The sequence below is a fragment of the Homo sapiens genome, chromosome 4 (assembly GCF_000001405.40).
Source record: "Homo sapiens chromosome 4, GRCh38.p14 Primary Assembly".
Lineage (NCBI taxonomy): Eukaryota > Metazoa > Chordata > Mammalia > Primates > Hominidae > Homo > Homo sapiens.
Window position 1 is genome coordinate 145,513,895 of NC_000004.12, and position 23,129 is coordinate 145,537,023.

At 39.3% G+C, this 23,129-nt stretch overlaps 1 protein-coding gene and 1 long non-coding RNA gene across 15 annotated transcripts in view; one reads left to right on the top strand and one right to left on the bottom strand.

Moving 5' to 3' along the window:
* Nucleotides 1-23,129, top strand: part of SMAD1 (SMAD family member 1) — a 78,407-nt gene that overhangs the window by 33,125 nt on the left and 22,153 nt on the right. For all 14 annotated transcript variants that reach the window (XM_047415690.1, NM_001354812.1, NM_001354813.1 and 11 more), the window contains one exon: nucleotides 544-1,119. In XM_047415690.1, coding sequence (XP_047271646.1) covers nucleotides 720-1,119 — 400 coding nt within the window. In that variant the 5' untranslated portion in view covers nucleotides 544-719. The remainder of the gene's footprint in view (nucleotides 1-543; nucleotides 1,120-23,129) is intronic.
* SMAD1-AS1 (SMAD1 antisense RNA 1) lies at nucleotides 684-3,300 on the bottom strand. Its single transcript, NR_126371.1, has 2 exons — nucleotides 3,120-3,300; nucleotides 684-1,096 (listed from the first exon to the last, which is right to left on the bottom strand). It is a non-coding gene; the product is annotated as an SMAD1 antisense RNA 1 (long non-coding RNA).

A 23,129-nucleotide genomic window follows, 5' to 3' on the forward strand; every position in this document is an offset into this window, starting at 1 on the left:
TGTAAAGTGGCAGCAATTGTATTACCTAACTCAAAGGATTGTGAAAAGCATTAAATGCTATATATTAGTCTGCTTTGGTTGCCATAATAAAATATCATAGACTGGGTGGCTTAAATAACAGAAATAGATTTTCTCTTTGTTCTGGAGTCTGGAAAGTCCAAGATCAAGGTTCTGGACAATACAGGCTCTGGTGAGGGCTCTCTTCCTGGCTTGCAGATGATCACCTTCTTGCAGTACCCTCAGTGTGTGTGCATAGAGGCTGGAGGAGGGAGATAGCAATCTTAAGACCACCAGTCCTATCAGGTTAGGGCCCCACCCTGATGACCTTACTTAACTTTAATTACTTTCTTAGAGGCTCCATCTCCAAATATAGTCATACTGAGAGTTAGGGCTTCCGCATATGAATTTTAGGGGTCACAATTCAGTCCACAGCATACTGTATTACATAAAAGCACTTAAAATAGTACCTAGCACATGGTGATTACTTAATAAATGTGGTTGTATGGTAAAGATGATTCTAACCATTCTTTTTTTGTTTTGTAGGTGCTGACTGGGTTACTTTTTTAAACACTAGGAATGGTAATTTCTACTCTTCTGGACTTCAAACTAAGAAGTTAAAGAGACTTCTCTGTAAATAAACAAATCTCTTCTGCTGTCCTTTTGCATTTGGAGACAGCTTTATTTCACCATATCCAAGGAGTATAACTAGTGCTGTCATTATGAATGTGACAAGTTTATTTTCCTTTACAAGTCCAGCTGTGAAGAGACTTCTTGGGTGGAAACAGGGCGATGAAGAAGAAAAATGGGCAGAGAAAGCTGTTGATGCTTTGGTGAAAAAACTGAAGAAAAAGAAAGGTGCCATGGAGGAACTGGAAAAGGCCTTGAGCTGCCCAGGGCAACCGAGTAACTGTGTCACCATTCCCCGCTCTCTGGATGGCAGGCTGCAAGTCTCCCACCGGAAGGGACTGCCTCATGTCATTTACTGCCGTGTGTGGCGCTGGCCCGATCTTCAGAGCCACCATGAACTAAAACCACTGGAATGCTGTGAGTTTCCTTTTGGTTCCAAGCAGAAGGAGGTCTGCATCAATCCCTACCACTATAAGAGAGTAGAAAGCCCTGGTAAGTGAGTTATTTTATGTTGATGTGCTTTGTGTGCCCAGTACCAGATTTGTGTTGTTTAGAACATGAAAATAATCCCTTTGCTTGTTTTTAGTTGTAATTTAAAAATATTTGGGGAAACTGTGTGTGTGTGTGTGTGTGTGTGTGTGTGTGTGTGTGTGTGTCTGTGTGAATGCAAGAGAGAAAGCCCCTGAGTGTTTCATACATTTTAACAGCTTAGTCATCTCTAGTTAACATTATGTCTTGGGAGCAGGCTATGACAATTGTCATTGCAGTACTAATACCTCTAATTTTTAATAAATTGTTTTCTTTCTAAATTTATTTTTTATGTCTCACATGGTTCTCTGCATTTCTCTAGATAAAATTAGCTATGAATTGTATTCTAAGGGAAGAAAATTAGGAAAGAAATGCATTATTGCTGTCTATATGCTTAAGGGAAGTACATCATGAGGGTAGTTGCCAGTGACTTAAACCATTCTGAACTTAAGAACAGCACTTTTTATCATCTCTGGCGGAATTTTGCTGTGGCATATTTCCTATGGTGAATATGAAGGAATTATATCCTTCTATGGAATCATTTGATGCTATTACTTTATAAAATATACCCAGTTTTTACATGTATAGTCTTTTGGGAGGGTATGGTAAAGGATATATTTTAAAATTTATACGGTTTTGCCCTCAAGTTAGAATCTACATTCTAGAGAGTTGGATCATTGGAAAGTGATTAGATATTCAAGCACTTAAATGTCTCATTGTCGATTGGGACCAATTTTGTTGATGGATTGGCTGTTAATAGTTCCTGGGTTACTAAGGCTGTATATTAGAATCACATGGCTCTCCTCCCAGAAATCCTGATCCTGGGATAGCCTGGTAATCTTTGTTTCTAACAAGTACTTCAGGTGTTACTGATGTAGCTATTGGATTGGTGTTTAGGAATTACTAAACTAGATCATGTAATAACATGGTTTTCAAATAAAAGGCATTCTGTATTTTTGTGGAATATTTAAGACATATTTTAAAAAAAGATTTTAAAGACCAGTAGTATAACAAACATCTCTGTATCCCCTACTCATTTTAAGAAATAAAAGATTACGTGTAAACTGGAACCCCTGTTTTTGCTCCTCTGATTCTGCTCCCTTTGGTAACCACTGTTCTGAATCTGACGCTTATCATTCTCATGCATGTTTTTATACTGTTATTACATATGTATGAGTCCATGACAATATGTAATATTTTATATATTTAAAAATGTTACATAATATTGGAGTTTCTTTGTACAACTTATGTTCATCCAACATTACGTTTTTGTGATTTCTAGATTATATACTTTAGGATTACCTTGTTAAGTCCTATGAAAAACACTTTGGGAATTTATTGGAATTTCGTTGATTTCATTTGGGGAAGATTGGCCTACTGTGCTCTTGAGCATAATATTATTTAGTGCACTTTTAAGTTTCTCCATACAGCTCCTGCACTTACTAGATTTATTTCTAGATAACTGGTTTTTATTGTATCCTTTTAAAAGTTACATTTTGTTACAGTTGCTCTTGGTTAAGAGAGCATTGCCTTTTTTCTAACAACTGTGCTGAATTCTCCTTACCAGTTTGGATATAGACGTTCTTTACTGCTTGTTATATCAGCTGTGATGCAGTGTTCTTTTTTCTAAACTCAGCACAGAGGTACATGTCCCTCTTCTAGCCAGAAATGGAAATGGAGCTAAGAGTTTTGGAGAGTAAAATGTAGTAGATAAGTAATATGTACCAGCAATATTATTTAGGCACATGATTTTTTTGATCCTCGTAGTAACCTTAAAATGTATTAATACATAGGTAAGATTTTAATTCTACTCCATATGCGATGAAACTGAGGCCCCTACAAGTTAAGTGCCTTGTGTTAGAACTAGAAAATAGAGGCATTTGACATGAAAGGCAAAATTCACTATTTAAAAGACACTATGAATATGTCTTCTCCATCCATACTCCCCCTCACCCTGCGCTAACCTTCCAGCATTTCATCTTGCAATGCAGCAACTGCCTCCTGACTGGTCACCCCCTTCAGTCCATTGTCTACAGAAAGGGATCTTTTAAGATGCAGACATGATCCTCTTGTTGTCCTACTTTTCCCTACTCTTGAGAAGTCCTCTAGAGAGGTCTGCACATTCTGGTCCTTTCCTCCCTTTCCAACTTCCTTTGTACTCTTGCATGCTTTGTGTGCTTGAGTTCTCTGGAAACATTCCATGCACGTTTCCTCTATCTGTACCTGTTTCTCCTCCCTCTTTGTCTAGCCCACTCTTATTTATCGTTTGTGTCTAGCACATGGTCATTACTTAATAAACTAAGTAATTGTGTGATGGAGGTCAGTTTCATTGGGAAACCTTTCTTGATACCTCCTACTTCACACATATCTCCCTACTCTGCTTGGGGAGGTTAGGTCTCATTTCCCATAGCAACCTGAATTTCTTTAGAATGTTCTTCACACTTATAATGATTGTTCTGTTGGTCTTCTCTGCAAGATAGTAAATAAAGCTCCATGAGGGCAGGGACTATGTGTATAATTAACATCTCTATTTTTAGCAACAAGCATAATTTGATAAATTTTTGCTGTTAAATGGTGATGCTGATTTTTAATTTAATATCGTCATTTGGCCATTTTTTTAGTGCTGAATTTTCAGTTTATCTATACCTTTTGACCATCTTCTTCCCTTCTTTGGTCATTTTATGGCTATTACACCTCTGATACAAGGTGAAAAGTTAAAACCAATACTGAGATGAATTTGTTACTCTTAATAACATATGTGCTAATAAAATAATGGGGAAGAGGTGGAAAACTGGCTTACATAGGCATTTTGAGACTCCACAAATGCCATTTCAGCCTCTCCTTTACCCAGGAATCTTGTGAGTCATGGATAGAATAGAACAGTTCTGGAAAACATGGAGGCTGAGGCTAAGATCTATTTAATTTGAACATATCAAGATTTTATGTATATTTTTCACATTATGAAGTGACTGATGTGGGAATTGGAACAAAGGACTTTTTCCAGAGACCACTATGAAGCAGTCCCTGTACCTTCTGAAGAGAAACTCTACTAAATCAAAGTGCAAGAGGCAGCCAGATGTGGTGGTACATGCCTGTAGTCTCAGCTACTCAGGAGGCTGAGGTGGGAGGATCACTTGAGCCCCAGAGTTGAAGGCTGCAGCACACTATGATCATGCCTGTAAATAGCCATTACGTTCTAGCCTGGGCAGTGTAGTGAGACTCTGTCTCAGAAAAATAAAGTTAAAAAAATGCAGCATAGTAAAACCCCATCTCTACTAAAAATACAAAAATAAGCCTGGCGAGGTGGGGGGCGCCTGTAATCCCAGCTACTCGGGAGGCTGAGGCAGAAAAATCACTTGAACCTGAGAGGCGCAGGTTGTAGTGAGCCAAGATCATGCCATTGCACTCCAGCCTGGGGGACAAGAGTGAAACTCCATCTCAAAAAAAAAAAATAAAAATGTGCAAGGTGACTTAGCCCCTCACACTGCCAGAATTGAAGCCCTCTATAAAGCCGTACAGAGTACACCTGGGTATTGTTTTTGTGAAATCAGAAAAAGGGGGTCTGGAATTCTAAGCTGCACATATACACAGCTCAACACTGAATTATTTTGAACTTTGTCACTATTTTACTTCTGATGAAGTATCTCAAAGAACAGTTTAGCAGTTTAACATATTTAAGTCTCCCAAACTTGGTGACTTCTGCTGAGGTCTCAATGACTCTTGAAAAAAACTCAAAAATTGAGAATATTTAGGTTTAGAGTAGTGGTTTTCAAAGTGTCGTCCACAGAGTAGTAGCATCAGTACCACCTTGGAACTTGTTAGAAAAGCTAATTATTATTTTTAAATTGACAAATAATTGTATATATTTGTGGAATACAGTGTTATGTTTTGGTACATGTATACATTGTGGAATGATCAAATGAGGCTAATTAACATATCTGTCACCTCCCATGTGTATTTGCTTATTTCTTTCTTTTTCTTTTTTTCTCTTTTTTTTACTGCCTATTCTCTGAACCATTTTTTTGTTTGTTTGGTTGGCTTTTTTTTTTTTTTTTTTTTTTTTTGAGGTAGAGTCTCGCTCTGTTGACCAGGCTGGAGTGCAGTGGCATGATCTCGGCTCACTGCAACCTCTGCCTCCCAGGATCAAGAGATTCTCCTGCCTCAGCCTCCCGAGTAGCTAGGATTACAGACGTGCATCACCACGCCCAGCTAATTTTTGTATTTTTAGTAAAGATGGGGTTTTACCATGTTGGCCACGCTGGTCTCGAAGTCCTGACCTCAGTTGATCCACCTGCCTTGGCCTCCCAAAGTGCTGGGATTATAGGCGTGAGCCACTGAGCCCAGCTGAACCTTTTTTTTTTTCACCATACTAATTTCTTTTTGGTGAGTACATTTAAAATCCACCCCTAGCCTAAGCAACATAGCAAGACCCCGTCTTAATTTTTTTTTTTTTTAATTAGCGAGGCATGGTGGCATGTGCCTATAGTCCTACCTATTCAGAAGCTAAATCAGGAGGATCACTTGAGCCTAGGAGGTCAAACCTGTAGTGAGCTATCATCATGTCGCTGCACTCCAGCCTGGGTAAGAGAGAGACTCTGTATCAAAAAAAAAAAAAAACCCACTTTTTTAGCAATTTTGAAATATACAATGTATTATTAACTATAGTCACCATGCTGTGCAATAGATCACCAAAACTTACTACTTCTAGCTTAAGGTTTGTACCCTTTGACCAGCATTTCCTCTGTCCATGTTCACCCCTCCCTGCAGCCCCTGATAACCACCATTCTAATTCTACACTCTACTTTTATGAGTCTATTTTAGATTCCACATGTAGTGAGATTGTGCAGTATTCGTCTTTCTGTGCCTGGCTTATTTCACTTAACAATAATGTCCGCCAGGTGTCACAAGTGACAATTTCCTTTTTTAAGGCTGAATAGTATTTAATTTGAAAAAAATGTTCAACATAAGTAATCATCAGGGAAATGCAAAAACTGCAGTAAGATATACCTTTCACCTGTTAGAATGGCTGTTATCAAAAAGATGAAAGATATCAAGTGTTGGCAAGGATGTAGAGATAGGGGACAGCCATTTTGGAAGACAGTATGGAGGTTCCTCAAAAAATTAAAAATAGAACTACCATATGATCCAGCAGTCTCACAACTGGGTATATGTCCAAAGGAGGTCAAATCAGTGTGTCAAGGAGATGTCTGCACTACTAAGTTCACTGTGGCATTATTTACAATAGCCAAGGTATGAAGTTAACCTGAGTGCTCTTCAGTGGATGAATGTGTAGAAATGCAAATTCTTAAACCCTTCCACAGACCTACAATACTGAATCAGACTCTGGAGATGGGGACAGACATCTGTGTTGTAACAAGTTCTCCAAGTGAAACTGATACTGCAAAAGTTTGAGAACCACTGGTTTAAGGTATCCAGGCAAGTCATCAAGTCCGATTGTCTGGATGAAGTTGTCTTGAATTCAGAAGAGATGCTAATGAGCTAGTCTTTTAAATCCTCCAGCATTTTTAATTTTGCATGTTTGGATACAGATAGAAAATTGCTCTTTCCAGAGTTTTCCTTCTGATATTCATTAAGATGAGCCCTCTAACAAGATGGGATAAGTTGTCTTTAAGTGGGCGGGGAAGTTGGGGAGAAGTCTATGCTTTTGTTATTCGGCTCAGTGCAAGTTTTGGAATTGTTCTTTAGAGTGTACTATCTCTATCTCTTTGACAAAAGTAATATTACGGACGGGAATAATTGTTGCTTTTCCTTAACCTATGCCATTTATTTTCTTATAAATAAAACAGTGTAAAAAAATGGTAGTGGGGAAAAACAAATTTATGAAAACACTTTGCTACAACTTGTGTTTATTATAGTTAACAATGACAAATGTGCAAGGAGAAAAACCTTCCTTTTGTTGAAATTTGCCACTTTGACCATTGCTGAAAAATAGATCTTTGGGAAAGTAGAAAATGTTAGGAATTTCTTTTTCTGCAAATGTGTGAATACTTACAGGAAAGAGAAAGTTCGTGGAGCTTCTGAAGACTATGTCCCTGCTGATGATTTAACAGGTGGACTGTTTACTTGGACTTTTACTAGCCTTCAGAATCAGGGCTACTTATTAGTGGTTGAATTAAATGTAGGGTTTATTCTTTCTTACCAGAGTAAATGCTGACAGTGGTTAAGCAAGCAATCTAACTGTGGTATTGAGAAGACCATTCAGTTGCTATCTTCTGCTATTAAAAATGCCTTAATGGAGATTACCTGCCATTGGCCATTTTTTTTTTAATGTTTTTCACATGGTTCTTGAAAATTATCTTCTGCACTTTGAACTTAATCAGCTTGAAAGGGCATATTAAATCTGAGCTTGAAATTCTGAGATTTCAGTTTTGATCTTTAAGGCATTAGCTTCCAGGTGCTTTCATTTTCAGCATGATGGCTGCCAGCTGTTTAAAATTCACGTAAAATCCTCTTCACCTGTTGACTGAATGCATGTTTTCACTCTTTGGCTGCCTCAGTCACTGTGTAATTCGTGTCTTGGTAAATTTTACCTTGAAGAGAAAGTCTTAAAATTATAGAAATAGAGGACAGATTAGTTCTCACCAGGGGCCAAGAAGAGGAAAGAGGGGAAGGGGAGTGGGTGTAGCCATAAAAGGGCAAAGTGAGAGATCCTTGGGGTGACGGAAATTTTCTGTATCTTGACTGTATCAATGTCAATATTTTGATTGTGATAATTTTGTAATATTCTGTGATAGTCTGTAATATTCTGATTCTGTAAGTAGGATTTCTCTGTTATCCTTAAAACTGCATGTGAATCTACAATTACCTTGATTTAACAAATGGTTTTCTGTAAAAAAAAAAAAAAAAAAGCAGCTAGTTCAGCTCACACTGGTGCTCTTTGTGCACTTTTCATTTTGTCACACAGAATATTAAAAAGACGAGAGGAAATGTAATAAAATTAATATTTTATAAAACAGGCTGGGCGTGGTGGCTCATGCCTGTAATCCCAACACTTTGGGAGGCCAAGGCGGGCGGATCACGAGGTGACCATCCTGGCTAACACGGTGAAACCCCGTCTCTGCTAAAAATACAAAAAAAAAATTAGCCGGGCGAGGTGGCGGGCGCCTGTAGTCCCAGCTACTCGGGAGGCTGAGGCAGGAGAACGGGTGAACCCAGGAGGTGGAGCTTGCAGTGAGCCGGGATCGCGCCACTGCACTCCAGCCAGGGCGACAGAGCAAGACTCTGTCTCAAAAAAACAAACAAAAAAATGGTCTGGGTGCAGTGGCTCACGCCTGTAATCCCAGCACTGTGGGAGGCCAAGGCGGGTGGATCACCTTAGGTCGGGAGTTCGAGACCAGCCTGACCAACATGGAGAAACCCCATCTCTACTAAAAATACAAAATTAGCCCACGTGGTGGTGCACGGCCTGTAATCCCAGCTCTCAGAGGCTGAGGCAGGAGAATCGCTTGAACCTGGGAGGTGGAGGTTGTGGTGAGCCAAGATTGTGTCATTGCACTTCAGCCTGGGCAACAAAAGCAAAACTCTGTCTCCAAAAAAACAAATGGAAATCTTTAAAAAATGTCTTGCTTCACCACATTGTGAATGTGTTTTGTTTTGTTTTGTTTTGTTTTTTTGTTTTTTTTAATTTGAGATGGAGTCTCGCCCTGTCGCCCAGGCTGGAGTGCAATGGCATGATCTCAGCTCACTGCAACCTCTGCCTCCCGGGTTCAAACAATTCTCCTGCCTCAGCCTCCTCAGTAGCTGGGATTACAGACACCCGCCACCATGCCCAACTAATTTTTGTATTTTTAGTAGAGACGGGGTTTCTCCATATGGCCAGGCTGGTCTCGAACTCCTGACCTTGTGATCTGCCCGCCTCAGCCTCCCAAAGTGCTGGGATTACAGGCGTGAGCCACCGTGCCTGGCTGTGAATGTGTTTTTATATGACATGTGTGTGGTAACAAAAAACTTCAGTCTAGTTCAAGTTTTTTTTAAGTTTTTAAATATTTGGGATTAATTAGCAATAATATTAACTATAAAAATTAAAATAAGGCATTATGCCGTGTGTTCCTGCGTGTCTAAATTTCTTTTTATTCAGACATTTAAAGCACATGATAAACTAACTCCTCAGGAACTGTGCCTGCCCCAGAAGGTTAGCATGTAATTACAGCACTGTATTCTAAATTGAATAGAGGTGTGGACAGAGACTGCGACTAACTCTTACACACTGGATAGAGGCTGCAGCTAACTCTTACACACCCAGGAGTCACCACAGAAAAGCTTGCTCACTCTGACACATATAACACATGGTGTTGCAATCTGTGTGGTGATGGGATATATGTGTATGTTTCAGTGCAGAAAGGACTTAAATCAGTTTACAGGTTTTGGACATACAATAAAATAGAAAAGAATTACTAATAAAATAGACCAGGGAAAATACAATGAAAGATCAAGACTGAGAAAAACTAGCACAAAGGTGTTCCATAGGAGTTACTATAATACAAATATACTATGTATATTTGTATAACTATAAACAAAAATAACTATCGTTATTATATGTTTGTAATCCTAGTTTGCATGTTTCTCGTAATAGTTTTGGTGTAGGGGAGAGGTGTATGTATTAATAGCTTGGAGATGAAGGAAGAAAGTTTTAAGAGTTAGGAGATACAAATCAGCTTTTGCGCTTGAAGGTTGGGTTCCGGGCAGAGCCACTGAGGCGGTTGCAGAGGCTTCTGGCAGGAGGGGTGCCTTAGGGTGGGGTGGGTGCCCTCTGGCTTTTGCAGTTGCTCTTCCACAGTCCTCTCAGGGCTTCATTCTTCAGTCTACATGGAAGTTCTTTTTTGGCTTTTTGTTTTGGTTTGTTTTTTTGAGACGAGATCTGGCCCTGTTGCTCAGGCTGGAGTGCAGTGGCGCAGTCATAGCTCACTGCAGCCTCAAACTCCTGACTTCAAGGCATCCTCCCACCTCAGCTTCTCAAAGTTCTGGGATTACAGGCATGAGCTACCATGCTCAGTCTGGAAGTTCTTTTTTGAAAAAGCACAAGGTCACTACTTAGATTTCTATCCACACAGCCTAGTGGACATGGAGATAAGACAGTGAACGCTTTCCAGGATTTTATCATTGGCATTGGCTTATGGTTGATAATTTTATTATTTTCATCTATAATATTACTAGAAACATGAAATAATATAGTCATGAGTAGGATTTTATACCCAGATCTTTTAGTGGATTCCAGTGTTAAATCCTAGGCAAATGTGAAGCTTGTTATTTTAATTTTTTTTTTCTTTTCTGAGCAACTGTTCTTAAATGCATTTGTGGCATTTGTTTTGGGTTATTAATTGATGAATAGATACTGTTTCAGCCATTACTGTATGTTACTTTTACATAAACTGTAAAAGTACATAAGTTGTTATACATCGATGGAAGCAGACATCTAGACAACTACAATGTGATTTGTTTCTGGGCAGAATTTTTCTATTGCCAAATCTACTTTAATTTGAAATTTTAAGACAGTAGTCTATAGATCATACAAAGTACCTTTCTCATACTTTTGCTTTCCTGACGTTTGTCTTCTGCTTTATTATTTTTCTTCTTATTCTATTTCTGCAGTATTAGGTGGGCAAGAGAAGATATTTTCAGATCTTTCAGATTCATTTAAAGTGCAGCTGTCTTCCACCCTCCATTGCTGGTTCATAGAGCAGAAAGAACACCAGCCAGCCAGCAGCTGTTAAAAAGAAAACGAAAAAAAAAAAAAGTGACTGAAGAAAAACAGCAGTTTTGAAAACCATAGAAAAACATTTGTCATAATATTTTAAATTAAAAGAAAAAAACCAGGCCAATGTTTCCAAGACTAGCTTAGGGTGAAATAATAATTAAGACCTTCTGAATTGTGCTTTTTGGCTTATTATTCCCACATGTGGATCATCCTGAAACAATGATTTCTTGGAGGTTTGAGTAAGTTTTATATGTGGTTGAGTTTAGGAGGAGTCACAGGTGATTTGCCCCATGTGGGAGTGCCCGGTGGCCTTGCTGGATACTTGGAAAAAGGAGAGAAATAGAAGAGGATGGTCGGCTTATGTAATGATCTCAGGCTGATTAATTTGGTTTTACTTTCAGCCTCTTTGGTGCTAGATATCAAAAGGCCAGAGAACAGACCAGAGATTGCTTTCTCTCAAATATATGTTCTATCCCCTTGCCATTTTCCCCTTAAAATGAAAATGTTCTCCGGAAAGACTAAGCATCATGACTAATAAGCATGAATTAGCCAGATCATCAAACCTCTGCCCTGATATTTGGAAAAATGAGATTTGTTTGGGGAGGAGATGGGGAAGCAACAAGGGTTTATTTGTTTTTGAAGAAGCAGAGCTGGAGGATTTGGAGCAGCTGTAGGGTGGATACCATGAGCACTGTGGTAAAAATCTAAGAGGGCTTGCAGAATAGTAGAGCTAAAACCCCCACATTTTGTTAATTTGCCAGTTTGGCTGGGGATTGGTGTAGTTGTTTGATACTGGTGCTGAATCTAGTTTGAATGTCTGCATGCAGACTCGTTTCCTCTGGGTTTGGGCTGGGGTGGGTTGGGCTGAGCTGGGCTGAGCTGGGCCAGGCCTCCTGGTGTATGGGAGATGGAGAGATAATCACTTGCTGCTTACCCACTCCACTTTTCTAATTATCATTGCCCTCAGTCCTCAACAGGATTTCTCTAGCACTGAAGCCTGACCATAATACTCAATTGCAGGTCTGCTCCACATAAAACTATGTAACTAGAGGTAAGTGTAATTTCCTTGATAAAAGATCTAGGGTGTTGGAAACACATTCTGTGGCTTAAATCAAGATTTAGGTCAACAAAGGAGTGTTTGGCAATTTTCCTCCAGTTCTCTAAATTGTAATGTTCATGCTCTGGAATCTTAGCAGGTTTTAAAAATGGAAGATCAGGTTTATATTCTGCTATATCACTACCCTGGTTCTAAAACAGCTCTCCAAGAGATGCTGCTTTTCTTAGTTCTTTATTCTTTCGCATGAGAAAAGACATTTTTTTATCTAAATTGTGGCCTGGCGTGGTCTGGCTTATGTGGTCGCACATCACCTTCACTTGACTAATTGCCCAGTGGCCTGTCTGGGATGTTCAGTGAGAATAAAGTAAAAGAAGAGTGATTTTATAAGGAGCATTTGGACAGCTTATTGTAAACTAAAAATAAACATATAAATAACAGAGTGAAATTGCCTTATATGTTTTTGCCTTTGTTTCCCTGTAGTTTCCCTATCAGTTCTAGCTAGCTAGCTTTGTAGCAGATTTTGCAGTATTTTTTGTGTGTGACAATACCTTTCTTTGAGCACCTGAAAAGTTTACCCAGGGTATGGTGGTGTGCTTGACAGATATTTAAGTAAGATGATCAACTTGGGAGAAAAGTTGTGGATAAATGTCTATTCACATATAACTTACAGCTTTTAAATAGGAAAAATAATAGCTAATCTTAAAATGTTATTTAAGAGAAAACTGATGGGAGCATGTCACAAGGACCCAGAGGCCAGCTTGTGACAAATCTGAGACAATTTGATCAACGGAATAATTAAGGACAGAAGTGAATTATAAACCACTGGGAGAAAAACAGGAATCCATGCTGAAGATGAATGGGGGAGAAGGAAAAGGCTCTTGCTCACAGTAGAATGCCATTGCCAACCAGTAAATGTGGAGTTCTTTAGGATATTCTGGACAATAAGGCCATTTAAAGGAGATATTTATTTCTCTTTAGTAGTTAAAATATGATGGGAAGAATCTAGGGTTAGAAGGGCTGGATTGAATTTTGGCACTTGATAACTTTGACCTTGGGTTAGTCATTTGTCCTCTTTGAGCTTGTGTTTGCTAACCCATAAAATGGGGGAGTGGTTACATCTACTTTTCAGGTTGAGGATAAAGTTAATGCATGTGAAAAGGCTTTATGTACTAATGCATTCTTGAAACAATATGACTGAAATAGTGATACAAGGAACATCACTTCTGTGTATCTTTCTTAGAATAGAAACAAAATTTGTAATGTAAGCAACTTTTCATTAAACAGATATTCAGAAAAGGAATGATATTATTAGAATAAAATATTAATAAAGTTAAAATAGTGACTTTTTATGCTTTCTGTGTGCTGGACACTGTGCTTATCACTTACCATCTATTCTCATTTAATTCTTTTTTTTTTTTTTGAGACGGAGTCTTGCTCTGTCGCCCAGGCTGGAGTGCAGTGGCGGGATCTCGGCTCACTGCGAGCTCCGCCTCCCGGGTTCACGCCATTCTCCTGCCTCAGCCTCCCAAGTAGCTGGGACTACAGGCGCCCGCCACTACGCCCAGCCAATTTTTTGTATTTTTAGTAGAGACGGGGTTTCACCGTTTTAGCCGGGATGGTCTCGATCTCCTGACCTCGTGATCCGCCCGCCTCGGCCTCCCAAAGTGCTGGGATTACAGGCGTGAGCCACCGCGCCCGGCCCTATTCTCATTTAATTCTAACAACGACTGCCGGAAGATGGTACCAATGTGGCTACTGATATGTAGAATTTGAGTAAATTTTTCACACAACTTGTATCTGGAAAGCCAGGATTCAAATTAAAGCCTAACTGCAAAATCCATGCTGCTAACCACTGTGCTATACTGCTTCCCAAAAGAAGTCTTTAATCAGTTTTCTCTCAACAAAAAGGAGGGGCATCCAGAGTTTTTGGTAGTAGAGAATGTGATCATATGTGCACCAGCTGCATGAGTTTTGGATTGCGAGTCCACATCTGCCCTTGAAGTGTTTATGGAGGCTTCTGTTTATTTCCCATTGATCAGTAATTTTTTTTTTTTTTCGAGACAGAATCCCACCCTGTCACCCTGGCTGTAGTGCAGTGGCGCAACCTTGGCTCACTGCAACTTCCACCGCTCCCCGCCCCGGCCCCGGCCCTGGGTTCAAGTTATTCTCCTGCCTCAGCCTCCCGAGTGTCTGGGACTACAGGCATGCACTACCACTCTCGGCTAATTTTTTTGTTTGTACACACACACACACACACACACACACACACACATACACACACATATATTTTTTTTTTTTTTGAAATTGAGTCTCACTCTGTCACCAGGGCTGGAGTGCAGTGGCACGATCTTGGCCCACTGCAACCTCCACCTCCTGGGTTTAAGTGATTCTCCTGCCTCAGCCTCTTGAGTAGCTGGGATTACAGGCGCCCGCCACTACACCCAGCTAAATTTTTGTATTTTTAATAGAGTCAGGGATTCACTATGTTGGCCAGGCTGGTCTCGAACTCCTAATCTTGTGATTTGCCCTCCTCAGCCTCCCAAAGTGCTGGGATTACAGGCGTAAGCCACTGCACCCGGCCTAACTTTTGTATTTTTTAGTAGAGACGGGGGGTTTCACTATGTTGCCCAGGCTGGTCTCGAACTCCTGACCTCAAGTGATTCACCCACCTTGGCCTCCCGGAGTGCCAGGATTACAGGCGTGAGCTACCGCGCCTGACCATAATGTTCTTTATTAGATACCAAGTATCTCATTTTCGTGGAATATATTTAATTGCATCAAATATAAACTCAGAATGAGCTGAATATAATTAATTCAGCTGCAGTTACAAATTAAAGATGCCTGGGTGACACCTAGGTTAATCATTTACATATCAATCGTGCAATAGATGAATAGACACCATAGGCTAACTGCTCTTTGTGTAATGACTACCTCTTACTGTGTGCTTATGGAACTTTGTTAAAACTAACTTGTGCAACGTTGAGAGACACCATAGCACGGTGGCTAAGAACTTGGACTGCAGTGCCAGGCTGCCTAGGTTTGAATCCTGTCTTCCCTGGTTATTGGTGATACATTCTCTATCTCATTCTCTATATCTCATTTTCCACTTTTATAAAGTAGAGGTAATGTAGTACCTAGGATCAGAGTTGTTCAGAGGATTCAATGAGTTAATATCTGGTACAGCTTGGTATGTGGCACTTGGTACACACATGTATAAGCACCATATTAAAAGAAAATCTGAGAAGTACTATTATTCCTATTTTATTATTAAAAGTGAGGTTTAAATAGTAAATTGCCCTAGTTAATCGGCTAGTAAATAAGCAGAATTTCCAATTTTGGAACTGAGAAACTAAAACCTGCTTCTGACTGTTACTATACTTCATGTGTGGCTTTTGAAGGTATTTTTTTTTCTCCTGATGTTTTTAGGTTATACCCTGAAGTTTTTTTCTACCTCTAACAACTCTCGAAGTCTCTAATAACAGAGCACCTTCCTTCTGTGGAAGTAAAGCAGATAAATACTTGGCAAAAGAAAGGAAACTACCAGGGTGAAAGTAGGAAGAGAAAAGACAGAGAGGGAACTAGGTTTGACAAACTGCTGTGTGCCACCATTCTTGATTCTCAGAGTGCTGTTAAGGGCTTGCTATCCCTTTGGGGAAACTGAGGTGGGAATTTATGCCACCTAAATTCATACAGCTAAGACCGTGGGCTATCTTGATCCCAAGCCAGTGCTTTTTCCATGACAACATGCCTCTTGACCAAAAAAACTGGGCCCTGTAAATTTTCTGTAAGCTTACTATAAGGCCATGCCAGCCTTTTCCATGTCATTTGGATTTATATCTGTATACTGTCAAAGAATCAGGACCAATACTGTGTAGAGTTTTTTGTAAGTGAAAGGGATGATCTCTAGAAATTTGACTTAAGATGAGAAAAATTGAAGTTCAAGTTCCACAGCTACTTAGAGACATAGATAGGGCCAGACACCTAGCTCTCTTGCCAGTGCATGTAGTAACCATTTGTCTTCCTGTACCTAGGCTGTATTCACCCAGAATTGCTGAAGGTTTTGACTTGTTATATCTGGGATGAGGTATAAGAATCTGCCTTTTTAAATAAGTATCTAATTCAGGTGCAAAGAGTCTGAGGGCTGAACTTTGAGAAAGACTGGTTTATATGAACCCACTTATAGTAGACAGGTCAGGAATAGCAATACAATTTACAAACATATTGAAAAAACATTCATTCTGGACCTATTAGGTGCCAGACACTGGCACCTATTTCCTTTCAAAAGAAAGAAAATCAGTTCTACCCACAAAGGCATTACAGTCCAGGTGAAGTAAAGTCAACTTAGCAATAAAATGTTGCAGATGCTACAATGAAAGTCTGTGTAGGGCACACTGAGGCATAGGGAGGAATTCTTTTCTACCAGGGGTGGATAGAAAGACCGGGAAAGGCACCATGGGAGTGCTGTTAGAACTGAGACTTGGAAATATGGCCAAGTGAGCAAAGGTGCAGAAGTATGAAACTAGCAGATGAAAACTGCAAAAAGCCACAAAGATAGGTTGAAGCAGGAATCTGAACTAGGTTATGGAGTCATAGCAGACGTTCTGTGGGTGCCCAGAGAAGGTATTTTTCAAGAAAATAATCTGTGGTATACAAAAAGAATCATTGGCCTGGCATTATCTAGGAAGTTGGATTCTCAGAAGTTGAGTTAGATTTAGGTGATTTTTAGGTAAATTTAGTGGCTTTTGTTTAATGCTTTATGATATTGTTGAATGAAATTCATTTATCTATGTCAAATTATGTTCACATCTTTGTCTTTTAATATATTTGTACTTGAGTAACTATACTCCCAGAAAGTAAATACTACCGTGTTGCTACCTTTAGGCAAAACTATCATACCTTTTAAAAAGATCTTGCCCCCAAAAAAACAAACAGAAGGATGGAAAAAGAATTTAAAAAACAACTTCCACAGTCTCTTTCCAGTTTTATAGTACTGAGTGATTGTCTAGTGGTTATGAGCAGACCTTGATTCACATCCTGGCCCTCAATTAGCAGCTGTGTGACCTTGCATGGGTTACTTAGCTAGGCTGAGCCTGATCCTTCACCTGTAAAACAGAGATAACTGCTGTGAGGATTTAGTGATAGACACTTTTCCCAATGGGCAAGGACAGTGTCTGTCCTGTTGACTCATACCTGCAGTGCCCTGCATGATGGAGGCATATATGGTACCCAGTGAACCTTATATTATAGACCCTCCGTACTATCACCTCATCACCAATAAGCAGACAAAAAAGTGCCACCACTCAGGGGTTTAGGCTGTTATATATTTTCATTAAAATTTAACCTCTATTGAGGTTCCAAGAATCATTTCTTCAGCGTAAAGTTTCCCTGACATATGCTGAGGTAAGGAATTTTATTTCATAAATGTGTATACTATTAATTTTAAGTGTTCTTACTCTTACCCTTTCCGGCACTTCCTACTTGAAGTGTCTCTGTTTAGAAGGTCACTGAACACACTCTACTGGGGACATCTGTCTCGTGTAGGCATCATATTGGGCACAGCTGCTCTGGCAGCTTGCCCTCCCTTTCTCACAAGAATTGCTGCAGCTGACTGGCTCTGGGGCCATTCTGTCCCTAGCCCTGGGCCTCCTTTCTGCTTGTAGGTGGCCTCACTGAAATGTCCTGAGATTCAACTTAGATGCCATCTGGGGCTGAGCTTTGGACATTACAAAACTCCAGGTGTACATGAGCAGCATTCTCATCCATCAGAAGACTTGCAGAATTTAGAGCAGGAAGACCCTGTGGAGAGCAAGTTTCTTGCTCTTTTGTGTGAGGAAACTGAGTCCCTGAGACATTAAGTGATTGGCTCAAAGTCACAAAGGTGGTTACGGGAGTCAGGACTAGAACTAAGGTGTCTTGACTCTAACCTAAATGCCTTTACCACCTTCTCAGAACTAGAAAGCATTTCTGTACTGCCAGGTAACAGGTAGCTTGTGTCCGTTACTTCTTTTTTTTTTTTCTGTTACTTCTATATGGGCAAACATATATCAGAACTCTCTTGCGTGTTTAAAAAAGAAAAAAGCTGCTTTCTCACGAACATTTGGTGGGTCACAGCCCACGTGGGGATTTGTCAGACTTTGTCTCATTACTAGACTACTTTACCACTGACAACTTGGTGATAGAATTTCAAGCAGTACTTCAAAATCTTAAAAAAGCTCTCACATCTAGAGTTTACAGGAATCCTTTCCAGAGCTCAGCCCCTCTCTACAATTTTAACTGTTCTTTTTCATGCTTTTCCGTGTACCTTAGCAACGCTGAAAAGCTGAGTATAATAGCAGAATCACAAATATCTCTGAAACTTTTGCTTCCTGAAACATTCTTAGTTGGGTTTCCCTGTTGACTGGAAAAGGGATTTTATTTTTAACAGAGATGCACAGTTTGAAAAGCAGAGTTAACGTCACTGAGAAAAGGCAGAAATCTGAAGATTTTTTTCTCCTGAGAGAAAAGGAAAAGAGATCAGGAAAAGAAGATAGCTTCAGCCTTTTAAAGACATAACACAATTAGACATTTTCAAATGGGTGGAGAGGATTGGTGAAATCACCTAGGGGCGTTTTTTCAGAATATATTTGAGGGGTTAGGGTGGGAGAAAAGATTTGGGTTTTTACCAGAGTTAGAGCTCCTAGGATACAAGAAGGACATACATGGTCTGATTTTTAAATAACTCGGAAGAAATTCATGTGTACAAAGAAAGATGTTTTAACATTGGGCTCTTCTTTGAAAGCAGATTCTTATTCAAATTAACCAATAGGAGCAGCCCTTAAAGAGGGAAGTCCCACACTTTAGCCATATTTTGAAGTTACCAAACAAGGGTCACCTTAGTGCACTAAGAAAGTGGTTCCCCAGAAAAGTCTACGTTCCCATATTTGTTTTCCATAAAATAGGAACAGCCCGAGACATAGAACAAGTCAGAGGGAAACACTGCTCACCCTCTCTCCCTTCCTATTGGTGATCTGAGTTGGGCCTGCAGTTTGCAAATCCTCATTCTTTAGGCTGGTAAATCTCTCACCCAAGAAATGAGAATTGCACAAAGAAAGTGTGCTTAAACATGAATAATTATCTGAATGTTTCTTCTTTCCTTTTTGCCTAATAGAAAACATATTTTAATTATTCTTTACTGAAATCTTGCTGAAATGAAAGGAGCATGAAGTGGGGGTAGAGCGAGAGACATCTGGGAGAGAACCACGCATTGTCCTTCAGGATTCCACACAGGGAGAGAGGCCTGGGCCTTGTTATTTTAGAGCAGCACGTGTGTGTAGGCTTAACCCAGCCTGACTAACTTCTATGTGTCTCCTCTCTGCCACATTAATACTTCTTTCTAGGGCTGGCAGCTGTTCCAGACCTGTCTCTTTACTTTCCTGAATTTAATTAGTCATCGCTTATAGTTAGTGTGAACATTTATTGTCCAAGCCAGGAGGCTTGAAATTGACAAGAGTCACCTATTACTAATTACATTGGACAACAGGTACAAATTGGGACTATCCCAGGCAAGCTAGAACTTACAGACACCCTACTTATACAGTCTCCAGGGTGGGTGTGGTGGCTCATGCCTGTAATCCCAGTGCTTTGAGAGGCTGAGGCAGGAGGATAGCTTGAGACTAGGAGTTTGAGACCAGCCTGGGCAACATAGCGAGACCCTGTCTCTACAAAAAATAAAAATTAACTGCGCATGGTGGCAGGCATCTGTAGTCCTAGCTGCTCAGGAGGCTGAGGCAGGAGGATCGCTTAAGCCCAGGAGTTTGAGGCTGAATTGCTCTGTGATCATGCCTGTGAATAGCCACAGCACTCCAGCCTGGGCAACATAGCAAGACCCCAGCTCTAAAAATAATAATAAAATTTGTTTTTAAAAAAGCAAATAAGGAAGTTTTTGTAAGTGCTGCTGTGGACCATGTGGTAGTAATTACCAGTTAGAAGATACATTGGAGAAGAAGCCTCATTTAATCTCATTGAAAATAGCAACAACTTGATAAATTTAACAAGAAATGTGCAAATCCTATATGTGGTGTTAGGAACTGAGTTGCATGCCCCAAAATTGATATATTGAAGCCCTAACCCCAAGCACCATAGAATATGACTGTTTTTGGAGATAGGGCCTTTAAAAGAGGTAATTAAATTAAATGAGACCATGAGCATGGGCCCTAATGCAGTCTGACTGGGGTCTTTATAAGAAGAGGGATGAAACATGCAGAGACCTCAGGAGAAAAGGCCATGTGAGTACACCCTGAGGAGGCAGCTGCCTGCAAGCCAAGAAGAGAAGCCTCAGGGAAACCAACCTGCCAACACTTTGACTTTGGATTTCCAGCCTTCACAGCAACAGTGAGAAAATAAATTTCTGTTGTTTAAGCCGCCAGTCTATGGTATTGTGTTACAGCAGTGCTAGCAACTAATGCAGACAATACTTGTAGAACACAAAAGTAGGCTTGAACAGACCTTCCTACATCTTCAGAAGGGCATTTCAGCATCATCAAGATATTAATCTTTACTTAATTTATGTATATAATGTGACCTCAATAAAAGTATTAATAACTTTTTTTACCGGAGGTAAACAAGGTGATAACTGAAGTCATATGGAAAGCTTAAGCATGCAAACAAAACACTGAAAAGGAAGAACTGTGAGAGGGGCTGGCCCCTATCGGATATTAAAATCTCTATAAAGCCTTTATAATTAAAACAGAGTGGTACTGGGGCACAGACTAGAACAGGATGAAATGTAGTGGAATTAAATGTCTAAAAGACTCGAACATTTATGGAACTTTTTTAAAGCGGCAACTCCAATCACTGGGTCAAAGATGGGCTTTTAATGAATGGTGTTGGGGTTAACTGGCTAACCATTTAGAGAAAGATAAAATTAGATCCATTCCTCATACCACAAATAAAACTAAACTCCAAAGGGATCACAGAGCTAAATAAATTATGAAACTTTATATGCACTAGAAGTATGCATGGATGAATTCCTCCTTATAATCTGGGTATAGGAGAAGGCTTTCTAGGACTCAAAAATAAATATGCAATAAAATAATATGTTGATAAATGTGCCTACCAAAAAATATACATAAGTGAAAAGACAAATGATAGTCATGGTAAAATATCCACAACATATATCACAGGCTAGTATCTCTAGTATGTTGTTTTTTTTAATGAAGGATGAAAATACCAAAAATAGGCAAAAGGCATAAGCCAACAGTTCAAAGAAAAAGATAGAAAAGCGCTGTCTGAAATACATGAAAAGATGATCAACTTTCACTATAAGAGAAATGTAAATTAAAATTGCACCAAAATGTCATTTGTCACCCATCAGGTTGTCAGGATTCAGAAGCTTGACAGACTCTATTCTGGAAGGTATGGGAAAAAGGCACTCCTATGTGACAGTGCAAAATGGTGCAACCATTGGAAAGGGGTACTTGACAATAACAAAGTTATATATACATTTACCCATTCACCCAGCATTTCCACATCTAGGAATTTGCCCTGAAGATACACCTTTGACAGTGCTACCATATATATGCACAGTCATTGCAGTATTACATTTTCTGGTAAAATATTGTGAAATACCTGAATGGCCAGATATGGGAGATTGTTAAATCACCTTTGGTGTTGTTATCTGTCAAACCACATGAGGAAGACCTCTGTGCACTAATATGAAGTTTTTCTCATATATAGGTGAAAAAAGCAAAGTGCAAAAGAGCCTATATAGTAGGCTATCTTTCTTTTTAGCAGTAAAGACGAAATAAGAAAGCATCCATTTATCTGCTTGCTTTTTTCAAGAAGAAACACAGGATAAGCCAGAAAAAAATGAAATTGGTGACCCTAGGAGGATGTTAAAATTGGAGGACTAAGTTAGAAGGGATGTGGTAGGGAGTATATTGTTTTGACTTTAAAATCATGTTAATGTTGATTTAATTTTGCTTTTTAAATACACACAATAAGAATGAGAGAGGGGAACTCCTAAAACTAAGCGCAAATAGCAACAGATATATTCAAATAAACTAACTGTGAAAGGGAGAAATTGAATAAAATTTCAAAGTAATAAAATAACACTGAAGAGAAGAGAGGGATGAATCCAAGTAGATTTTGAATGAATTTGAATGAATCCAAGTTCTTAGTATACCAAAAAAAAAAAAAAAATTAAAGAGAATAAACCCAAAACTTGTCTTAGTAGGTTTATTTTATAATTTCTGAAATTTTTTCAGTGTATCGTAGAATTAAGCACATTCATAAATATTTTGATGTTGGTAGCCAAGGTTCTCACTGTTGAAATAAGGAGATACAGATAGGAAATAGAGAAAGGCAAATGAAAACCCTGTGGAGTTGGCTTAACACTTGGATGTAACAGCATAACCCAATTTCCAGTACACACACGCACACACACAGGGCTTAGAATCAATGTGGCTCCAGTAGACATACAGAAGACAGCCAAATCCCAGATTTTGGTTTCTAAATACTATTCCTCACTAAAGGGAACCAGAGATTGCTGGAGTGGTGGAAAGGGAAGGTAAGAGATAAGCCTGGAATGTCTTGTTCCAGAAATTAAGAAATACTCAAATAATTGGAACATGTTACAAAGGCACAGGGACTAGCTTGAACAGGCACCCAATGGCCAAATCTAAGACAATATGACCATCAAAATAGATAAAGATATTTATAGATTATAGCTCATTGATTAAGAATCCATGAAGCCATACTGATGACTGTTATATATAGGCATATAGACACAAGAGATGGAAAAGCACGTCTTCATATTAGAATTCTGACTAATAATGAAGGAATAATGGAGTTAAAGAAAATTCAGTTCACAACCATTATAGCAAAAATTTATTCAAGCAAAATGGATGCTAAATATAGGGGATAAAGCTTGATAAGGAACAGGATATTTACACAGTCTCGTGGTATCTCTCACTACTTATTAATTACAAAAGGAAAGATAGAGACTGTCTACGGTGGAAGAAATGCACAATACCTTAACCAAGTGATCAGGATTAAACCTCAAACAGGCAGACACATCGTGTGCTTCTGTGCATGTGAACTGAGAAGGGAATGATACCACTTATCTAGTAGTCCAACCAAAAATCTCAGAGTTTAATCACGGGGAAGCATTAGAGGGACCCAAATTGATAAACAGTCTGTAAAATAACTGCCTGTATTCAAAAA